Source organism: Homo sapiens, chromosome 5, assembly GCF_000001405.40.
Source record: "Homo sapiens chromosome 5, GRCh38.p14 Primary Assembly".
NCBI classification, from domain to species: Eukaryota; Metazoa; Chordata; class Mammalia; order Primates; family Hominidae; genus Homo; species Homo sapiens.
Window position 1 is genome coordinate 171639974 of NC_000005.10, and position 10224 is coordinate 171650197.

At 47.6% G+C, this 10224-nt stretch overlaps 2 annotated features.

Moving 5' to 3' along the window:
- Positions 4306-4807: an enhancer, noted in NCBI's record as "H3K4me1 hESC enhancer chr5:171071283-171071784 (GRCh37/hg19 assembly coordinates)". NCBI's record gives its function as "activates a minimal SCP1, AML or CMV promoter by ChIP-STARR-seq in naive H9 embryonic stem cells {active_cell/tissue: H9 hESC(naive)}" and the evidence as "EXISTENCE:reporter gene assay evidence [ECO:0000049][PMID:30033119]".
- Positions 4808-5307: an enhancer, noted in NCBI's record as "H3K4me1 hESC enhancer chr5:171071785-171072284 (GRCh37/hg19 assembly coordinates)". NCBI's record gives its function as "activates a minimal SCP1, AML or CMV promoter by ChIP-STARR-seq in naive H9 embryonic stem cells {active_cell/tissue: H9 hESC(naive)}" and the evidence as "EXISTENCE:reporter gene assay evidence [ECO:0000049][PMID:30033119]".

Genomic DNA, 10224 nt, shown 5'->3' on the forward strand with positions numbered 1-10224 from the left:
CCACTTATTTCATCGTGGAACTGTAAGAGCTAAATGAGTTACTGTAAATAAAGGGTGTATAACAATGCCTGGCACATAAATGCTCAAGATGTGTTAGCTATGATGGTAATCCATATCAGCTGACCCCTTTCCATGGATCCTCCAAGGGGGAGAGTGAGGTTTCCAGAGATTAGATGACTCGCACAAGTTTCATCCAACCCCTGGCAGAGCTGACATCCAAACCCTGATCATTTGACTTCGCTATAAAACATGCCTGCGGGTGCTCAGTCTTGCTCATGTTTGCATTTTTTTTGCCTCAATTTAAAGTTTTTTAAAGAAAGTTTTCCTGGTGGCTGCTCTATCAGTGGCTTTTTATGCATTCAAATAGTGTCCTATGAAATCTTGGACAAAAGAGCATCCTTATGTTTCTTCTGCTGCTCCTGGGGCTCATCTTTTATTTTTAATGCTATTTAAATGAGTCTGTAATTGAGATAGTCAAATAAACAGGCTATTAGGTTAATTATAGAGAGCTCAGCCTACATCCAAGCTGCTGGGTTTCCTATCCTCTTGTGGACCTCAGCCATGACCTAATGATTCTACCATTAACAGCAAGTACAGCTTAGTTCCTCGAGAAAAATGAGAACTACCCAGAGTTCATGTCAACAATCTGCTCCTCTTTAAAATGAAGCCATAAGTCACAAGCCCTCTGAGTTCCCAGAGAAGTGTCTGGAGCTAAATTTGTATCCTGACTGTGATAATTGTTCTCCTATTAGGCTGATGAGAGAATTAGCAGAGCCAAGTCCTCTGGGGCTGTGCCCACAGCTCGGGCCAAGCTGAAAATGACTCTGTGAGTTTTATTTGTGAGATGTGTAAAAGGCTTGTCCATCACTGGGCCCGTGGACATGGGTTCAATATCAAAATAGCATGAGCCGCCTTTCCCAACAGACAGACTCCAGTCCTGGCAGGCCCTCTGAATACAGCAGGAACAAAAAATTCCTGCCGGAAAAGGTGTAGCTGGGTGTTAGTTCTCTCTACAGCCCTGTGGATGGCTCCACTGATATCTGTGGCCCGTGCCTGACCTGCTGCACTCCTGTTTGAGAGAGGTAGTGTGGAAGGGTGGCAAGAGCGTGTCCTTTGGAGACAGACCCAGGCTCAAATGGGTGGACTGGGGTCAGCAGCCCCAGGTATTGGTCTCAGAGATTGGTCTGTGAAAGGGGAGAATGGGAGTAAATAGTCTCTGACTTGCAGGATCGTCATGAAGATTGGAAGAGATTATGTGGGGAGAGGACCAGGCTTGAAGCCAGTGCTCAATAAACAGAGGCTGAGGTTTTGATTCTCTGGGGTCAATGAGGCACTTAACATGGTTGTCTGGGATTGGAAAGATTGTTTCTCCTTCTGTAGCCAGAATGGCAAATAGATTGTATCTCCCAGTTCGATATGAATCAATTGGAGATGCCTGCTTAAAGTGCAGTGAATGATTTGTAATACCTGCCATGGACTAGGGTGGGTGATAAGAGAATGCACCCCATGTGTTTCTATCTCCCTTCTAGAATGTAAGCTCCAAAGGCAGGGACTGGGTCTGAACAACAATCCATTAACTTTGTACAGGCTCCAAAGCATTTTTGCATCAATTATCTCATTACTCTCCCCCAAAATCCTCAGACATGGTATGCTGTGGTCCCACATCCCCTGGAATTGCAAATATTCTGTCCTCCAAAAGGGCCTGGAGTTTAAAAACTATAGCTAATGTAATAGGCAAGGAAAACCTTATTCACCCTAATCTACAGATGAGGAAATTGAGTCTCAGAGGGAGAAATAAACTGCCCAGAATCATACACTCAGTTGACAGAAGAACTAGAACTCAATTTAGATAATTTATTTATTTATCTACTCAACAAACATTCCTTCATTGCCTACTATGATCAAATTCTGGACTCAACACTCATGTTGCCCTTGAAGTTGCCTACAGTCTAGTGGGGGATATTGATGTGTAAACAATGAAATTACAAAACTGTGTGTGAGAGTGCAAACAGTCAGGGAAGAGGGAACATTTCAACTAAGTTTTGAAGGCATGAGATCCAGAAGAGCTCAGTTATGGAACTTGGTCTTTATCCTGAGGGCAAAAGGGAGCCATGGAGGGTTCTAGGCAGTGAGTGACCTAATTACTGTAGTGTTTTGGACAAACCACCAAAGGGCAGTGTGGAGAATGGACAGGAAGGGGAGGACTTGGAACAAGGAGGCCAGAGAGGAGTTTTGTGGTCCAGGTGAGGGGTACTGAGGCCTGAGCAGGTGCAGGAGTACATGGGGTGGGTAGGAGGTCATGGGTAGGACATGAAAACTCCCCAGACCCCAGAAGGTCTCCCTTCTGTGAGCAGGAATCAGAAAGGACTCAGCAGAAGTCTGCCCCAGGCTTGGAGGAGAAGACCAGGCCAGAAAACAAGGCCAGGAAAGGCAGGGCAAAGGGTTTTTTAGCAGGTAAGTAGGCTGTGTCCCTCATCGCCATGGGTAATCTGGAAGCAAACTAATTTGAGTCATTTTGAGAGACTCTTCCTTAACTTACATGCCCACATTATAGTGACTATTAACTGCAGTAAGTTAGGTTATGCTGCAGTAACAGATACTCCCAAATCTCAGTGGCTCTCACAGAAAGCTTGCATTTTCACCATGCAGAGTGTGTTCTGGGTCTAGGCCAGAGAACAGGGCAACTGTTCTCTATGCAACAGCTCCACAATCCCGGTGGAAGGACATTCCACCATCTTCTACATCATCATCTGGAACAGGAAGTCTTCTCAGTCAATGCCAAAGACGAAGAGAGAGAAAGAGGGGGTTCTCAAGCCAGCAATTAAATGCTTTTGAAGTGACATTTGTAACTTCTGCTCACACCCATTGGTCAAAGCAAGTCCCCTGGCCCTGCTGAGCCAAGCAGGCTGGAGATGCAGACTTTCCCGCACCTGGACAGAGAGACAAGCAAGCCATTCGTGAGCACTAGTAATGTCTCTTACAGGGTCTATGGAATGGTTGCTGTTTTTTAAATTCAGAATTGTTTAAAATCCAACTTCTTTCCTTTTCTGACGTTGAATCCTGCAGCAATTATTATCTCCATTTGGCGGATGTGGAAACTGGGGTCAAAGGTCAAATAAATGATGTCTGCAACTGACAAAACAAGATTAGACTTTTAAAAAATTACCTGCAGTGTCACTCTGAAAACCTCTCCTCTCTATAGTCTCCCACTCAGGTGATGATACCCACATCCATAGTAAGGCACGGAAACATGGGTTCTAGCCTCTGCCCTCATGCCAATCAACCGAGGACCCCTGGAAAAGTCACTTTACCTTTCCAAGGCTCAGTCTACCTGCCTGCAAAATGGCAGTAGAAACTACCCCATCCTCCTGGTCTCCAAGAGTTAGCTAAGGATGAGATGAAACACTAGGTATGAGGTAAATGAAACTTGGATAAAATTCCTGATGTTGCTATTATCTGTGAGAGGGGAGGAAATACTCTTGGGTGCAGTAATGAATGAGCTTTACTCAAAGGAGATCTTCAAAAGCTTATTTCTGGCGCTCAGAAATTACCCGCAGAATTTCCAGACTGCCATGTGGAGTGCTTTGACACTCGACTTTCAACTCTAGCCTGTCTTTGTGGCCTTAGGCAAGTCACTTCACCTCTCTGACCTGCAGGCTATTCATCTGTATGACGGGTTGCCTATCCTCCTGGCAGGGGTGCTGGGAGGGCCCGAGCCAAGGCTGAGGGGTCCCCTGGAATTCAGAAGGCACTAAGCAAAAACTAGTTGCCCTTTTCCCGAGGATCTTGTAAGAGAACCTTGCCAGAGATTTGGGATCCGGAATTTTTTTCCCTTCAAAGGAATGGCAATAAGGAAATGTGTGTGAGCATGTGAGAGGGAGGGTGCATATGAGTGTGTGTGTGTGTGTTTGTGTGTGTGTATGTGTGTGTGTGTAGGGGGAGAGGACTGTGGAGAAATAAAGAAATGGTGGGGAATAAACAACAGAACATTTTAGTGACTTGCAGATGAAAGCTTCTTTTAGCAGAATTCATTAGCTTTCTGCACACCAGTTTAGCTGTGTTTGGAAAAATACTTAACTTGCTATAGGATGCCAAGTCATGAATGTGTCAGAGAGAGAGAGAAAATTTTTTTTTAGAAATTCGTCTGTCCCTCTCCTAAGAGCAAAGGGTCTATTGAAACGCAGTGGTTGATGCTTGTTGGTGACATTCTCTTTATTTATTCTTTGTGTGAGAATGTGGGAAGGAAGTCAGGAGTGAAAGGTTTTTGCATGTTATTCTGAGAGATGGAGGGAGAGGGGGCAAAGAAGAAAGAATAATGGGTGGGAAAAGGAGAGAAAACTGTGAGGGGGAAAGGAAAGGACAGAGAGGGCTTGAAAAGGAGCAATAGTGAAAGAGATGGAGGCGAGGAGAGACAGAGAAAGAAGGGGAGGGAAAGGGAGTGAGTCCGGAGGGCAGAGCTGAGAGCTGGGAGACAGGCAGGGGAGAAGACAAAGAAAGAGAAGGAAAGAGGAGTCAGAAGAGACAAGCAGACAGACAGACAGCCCACTAGGACAGACGAGAGAAGGGCCGGGAGATGGGGAGGTGGGGCGGGACTGGGAGAGCGGGACCCACTGTCCCCTCCCATCTTGAACCTGCCTTGGTGTATGTCAACCTTGACGCCTCTCTCAGGGCCTGCCTACCCAACCAGCTGCATCTGCAATGTTTAAAGTGCCCGTTTCTCACATGGAGCCTGACGATGGAGCCGAGCCAGCCTGCATTTGACAACCAGATGCTGAGCTCACACAAAGGCATCCTCCGCCCTGGCTGCTGGCGGGGAGATGAGCAGGACTTTGCAGAGCACCAGTCCACCCTCCGTGCCTGAAAACCCAGGGCAGGCCCTGCCACAGCTTCAGCCACCAAGAAGGGACCAGGGTTTTGGAATCAGACAGAGCTGAGTTTGAATCATACACAGCCCATCCCTTCCCGGTGGCTCTGTGCATGTGGTCCTGAGCCTTGGTTTCCCCATCTGTGAGATGGGGCTAGTAAGAAAATGGATGGTGAGAGGATTCCTAAGGAAAGAAGCATCAAGGGTTTGGTAAAGAGAAGACCATAGATTGCAAACCCAAGCCTAGCAGGTTGAATTCACCGGAAGCGGTTTGTTCGACCTCCTCTAGGCTTCAGTTTTTGAATTAATTGCTGACATCAAAAACCCAGATTTCTTATAAAAAGTCCATATTTCTGGTTTCTCGTGAAAGACCCTAGTACCGAAGGCTGGAAGTGAGCCGCAGGCCCCCTCTCTGCCATAGGCCCCTCCCTCCCTGTGGCTCCACGTCTGGTTGCCCTCATTTACATTTCCTTCCTGGCCGCTGAAGTCACTTGACCCTCATTTAGTGGCTAAATACCACCTTCTCCCCACCAGCCACCCAAGTTATGCCCTTTTATATTTCTTCTGTGGTTGACATGGTCTTTCAAGGAGAAAGGAAAGCAAAAATTGCTAAGGGGTGAGTTGTCATCTCATTCTCAGAACAAAGCTGGATTTCCAGTTCAGACCCCAATCGGGCCCATCAATACGAGGGGCTGGACCCGCACAAAAGACATGCGGATTGTCTGGGGCTGCAGGTGGGTTTCCCAAGAAACTCTGAAATTCAAATGAGTGGCTGCTTCTCTTTGAAATAATATGTTTCAATTTAGTGTTTAAATAATGTAGCTTTCATTCCAGCCATTGTTTTGGACTTTGCAAGAATTTTCAAGCATGTAGGCAGAAACTAGGCATAAGCATGTACTCCTCCACCCCAAAAGATGAATCCTGTAGCTTCTCAAGGATTGGGAGACTTGGGCATATGTACTCAGGAGGATACAACCGGACAAAGAGCTGGGAAGGGCCTGGGCTGAGGGAGGAAGGAGCCTCTCATTGGTTGAGTACCCATTGTGTCCTGCAGCCAGGGGGATGGCCACCATGTATAGCCCCCTTGCTCAGAGCTTATAGTACAGAATGGGAGGACAACAAGTAGACACATTCCAAGTTTCCAAAGAGAACAGCACAAGATACTGGGGAGACCCAGAGAAACACCTAGTGCAGCTGGGAGGAAAGCAATTTAGTTCCCTGGAAGAGATGAAGCCCCAGACAGGCCCCAATAATGAGTAGGAGTTGGCATGGAGCAGAGGTGCAGATGGGAGCTCCAGGGAGCAGGTGACAAAGATCCAGGTATGTTTGGGGTCCTGGAAAGATTGCAGGGTTCTGGAATATAATGTGGAGGAGAGGGGAGGGGGAAGTGAGAGATGAGCTAGGGTCTGTGAACAGGGTTCGATGGAGAAGGGCATTGCCTGCTGTGCTGAGGCATGCAGAGATGAGATCATCTGCAGGCAGTGGGGAGCCATGGACAGGTTTTTAGAACAGGAATGGCACGATCAGATTTATGTGTTAGAAACATGATTTTGAAGGCTATGCGGAAGCAGCCTGCAGGGGTGAGCCTGAAGGTAGGAAGGCCACCAAGGAAAGCGGTGCCTGGAGGTGGCCAATGGGATACAGTGAAAACGGTGGATTCCAGAAATCAGTGTTGGCGGAAAATCCGATAAGACTTGGCGACAGCTGCAGCATCCCTGAAGGAGGCTGATTTGCATAAAAGCTGGGTCTCTGCAAAGTTCCACCCCTATTGATGGGTGGTTAATTGAATTCATTCATCTAACAGCAAACATTTATAGATGCTGACTCTGCTGGGAGCCCTGAGCTAGGTGCTGAGAGGAAGAATGAGGAAGAGCTGATTCCTGCACACCAAGTGGCAAGCCACCAAGAAACCTTGCTTTTTAAAAGGCTTTTCTGACCCAGCATCCTATAAAGCAGATGGTAGCCCTCCCCGACCCCCTTTCCAGCTCCCGAGTTCTCTGGCTGAGAGAATACGAGTTGCTGCCACTGCACCCAGGCAAGAAGAGCCAGACCTTACCACAGTTTACCGTGAGCTGGGCACTGTGCCCGGGGGCTTGTCACTGACTAGCTTATTCTAGGATGGGGTTCAGGGTTCAGCAAACTTTCTGTAAAGGGTCAGAGAGTCAAAACTTTAGGCTTGAGGTCCATACGGTCTCTGTTACAACTACTCAATTCCACCATTGTAATGTGAAAGCAGCCATAGACAAAACATACATGAATTAACGTGGCTGCATTCCAATAAAACTTTATTTACAGAAACAGGTGGTGGGCCAAATTTGGTCCACAGGCCACACTTTGCCAGACCCTGATGGAGTTCTCAGGATTCTACTTGTGCTATAGAAACTGTGCATCAGGCAGGGTCCAGGAACAGATGGCTACTCACGTGGGGAATTGAGGAGGGGGTCACTGGAGGGCTTTCGACAAGGGTGGCAGGTGAAGAGGAATTGACAGGGCTGCTGAAGTCCTCCCAGGAGAGCAACAGTGGGGAGCTGTTGCAAACCCTAGGATTGGAGGGACAGCAGGAGGCGTGATCATCAGAACCCACAAGACCTGCTGCATGGAGAGAGGGAGGGCCACCCAGCGGAAGCTGTAGCCTTCGGTAATGAGTCACAGCCTGTCAAGAGCGGCTGGGAGGAAAGCACTCTGACCTGCTTTCCCTCCTGCTATCCAGTCTCCTGCTATTGCCCCCCTTTGACTGGACCCAGCAGAGGCTGGGGGCAAGGGAGCCCACTGAGGCAGGTGGAGAAGGGTGGACTGGCAAGTGGAGGGCAAAGAGAATCCCAGATCCACAGCTGCGGGAGTCTAAACAGGCGCCCAAAGTCATGCAGCTAGCGAGCGACAGTGCTTTGATTTTAAGCCACCTTTGGTCAGCAAGTTCTCCAGTGGCCAGGTTCTCTCTGGGCAGAGGCTGACATGGGAGGAGATAGAGGATGTGCCAAAGGACAGGCGGGCTGAAGGAGGGGCTCGCCGTGGGCAGGGATTTTTCTCAGACAAAAATAGCCCCCAGTGGGAATCCGACAGTCCTGGTTCAAATCCCAGCTCAGCTACTTACTGCTGTGGTCTGGCTCAGGTCATTATGCCTCTCAGAACCTCAGCTTCCTTATCTGCAAAGCTGAGGTGAGATTCTCTTTATTTGTACAGTGTTTCTCAGGGGTGGTCAAGAGACTTCCAGTCCAGACCTCCTGGAGTGCTGGTTAAAAAAGCAAATTCTCAGTCTGTCTCAGACTGTCTGAATCAGACTCCGTGGGTGGGATCAGAAAATGTGTCTTCCGACAAGGTTCTGGGGTGATTCGAATGCACCCCAATGCATGAGAGACCAGTCTATTGGCTTCTTGTGATAATGAAATCAACCTGTCCACACAGCTGTAGGCCCGTTGCAGACCCATCATCTATGGGCAGCCCCTATGAGCTGCACTGTTGATCTCAATCAGTTCATCAAATCATCGTGGCAACCAGAGAGATGGAGTTACTCTCATTCCCATTTCGTGGATGAGAAAAGTGAGACTGGGAGAGATCCAAACACTTGTCTCAGCCAGATGGATAACCACTGGCTGGGACACAGTAAGAGCCAGTTCACTTCCTCTTGCCCTCCCCAGGAGAAGAGAGGGCTAAGCAGGGAGGCCACGGCAGAAGCGGAGCCCTGTGCAACCATGGGCAAGGACCCAGAGGACCCCCTGGGGCAAATTCAAGCGCTGAAGGGGAAAGGCCATGTTCCCCACAGGAAACTGCAGAGAGGGGCCACCCAGGAAAGCCTGGCAAACTCGTCTGAGCCTAGGCGGCCCCAGGAGAGAGGCACAACTTCTGCTGAGCTGTGAAGCCTCAGCGATGCTATATGAAATCAGCCGGGCTGGGTAATTCACATTAAGGCACCGGAAGCTGTCTAACAGAGGCCTTTTTCTCCTTCTTTTAAATTAAGCAATGGGATTTGCTCATGGACTTTAGGGTCCTAAATACTCTTGACTCCTATGGTGAGGGGGAAATGTATCTTTGTGAGACTGAGACTTCTTTCATGGGCATCTTTGTGCAGAGGTACCTAGAGATGTATTTTTTAAAGCTAATAAATCAGAAACCTTGTTTGAATCCCAATCCAGAACAGATGTAATGCATATGGTCAGTAGACTTGGAGTTGCAAATAAATATGTTTGGAAACCAAATATTTGAAAAGCAATTCTTCTTCTCATTTTTTTTTTTTAAGTGTCACTGCCAAGATCGGTTCAGGGATTTGGTTTCCCCTGAAGTTGTTGCCACAGCACTATACTCTCTCAGCCAGAAAGGAGATATAGTAATGCCCCAGGCTAGGGGTGCAGAGAGGTTTCAACTTGCGTGCAAGTTGGGGTTGATTGGTTGTGGCTGCCTGAAGTGCTAGGCAGAGAAGGAACCTAGGCTCAGCTAGAAAGAGTGCTATGATCCATTAGCAATGTCTGCCCTAGGACTGGTCGTAGGCAGTGGAAGTACATAATTGCCATCCCTGTCCTAAGTGTTTTAGGATTTGCTAAACCCTGAGCTACCTGCTTTTTTAATAGGACTGTGTTTTGTTTATTTTGAATGTAGTGCAATGAAAATTTTAGGGTACAGAAAAATCGGGGATATTGAAGAGGTTCACTCACCCTCTAAATGCAATGCCCACATAATAACTAAATAGGCCTCTCACTAACCCAGCCCTCTACCTGAAGATAGAACAGGTAATCCTCTGAACAGGCCTGGGTCCCAGAGGTGGCACTTATCACAAATACTTACCTTTTGTTTATTTTATTTATTGTTTGTTTGTTTGTATACTGGATTATTGACTGTTTCCTCCCTAGAACATCAGCTTCATGAGGACAGGGACTTTGTCTATTTCTGTTCATTGCTTTGTACCCCACATTTAGCTAGCAGTGTATGGCACATTATATGGACTAAATTGATCTTTGCTGAATAAAAGTCTTTTTTTTCCATTTTTTTGTTCATTCCCTCACACGTGTGCTTTCTGATACCTTCACTACTCTGAGCTCAGTCCAGGGCTGGGTCTGAAAATTCAGATATAATAAACCTCCAGCCTGCTGAGGGAGCTAGATATGTCATTTAGTGATCCTAGAACAGCACGAAAAGGTCACAATAAAAGTAGGTGCTGGGAGGCCAGGCATGGTAGCTCAGGCCTGTAATCCCAGCACTTTGGGAGGCAGAGATGGGCAGATCACTTGAGGTCAGGAGTTTGAGACCAGCCTGGCCAACACGGGGGAAACCCATCTCTACTAAAGATACAAAAAAAAATTAGCTGGCCATGGTGGTAGGTGCCTTGGCCATGGTGGTGGGATGGGTTATCCAAGCTTCTAGGCAGGCTG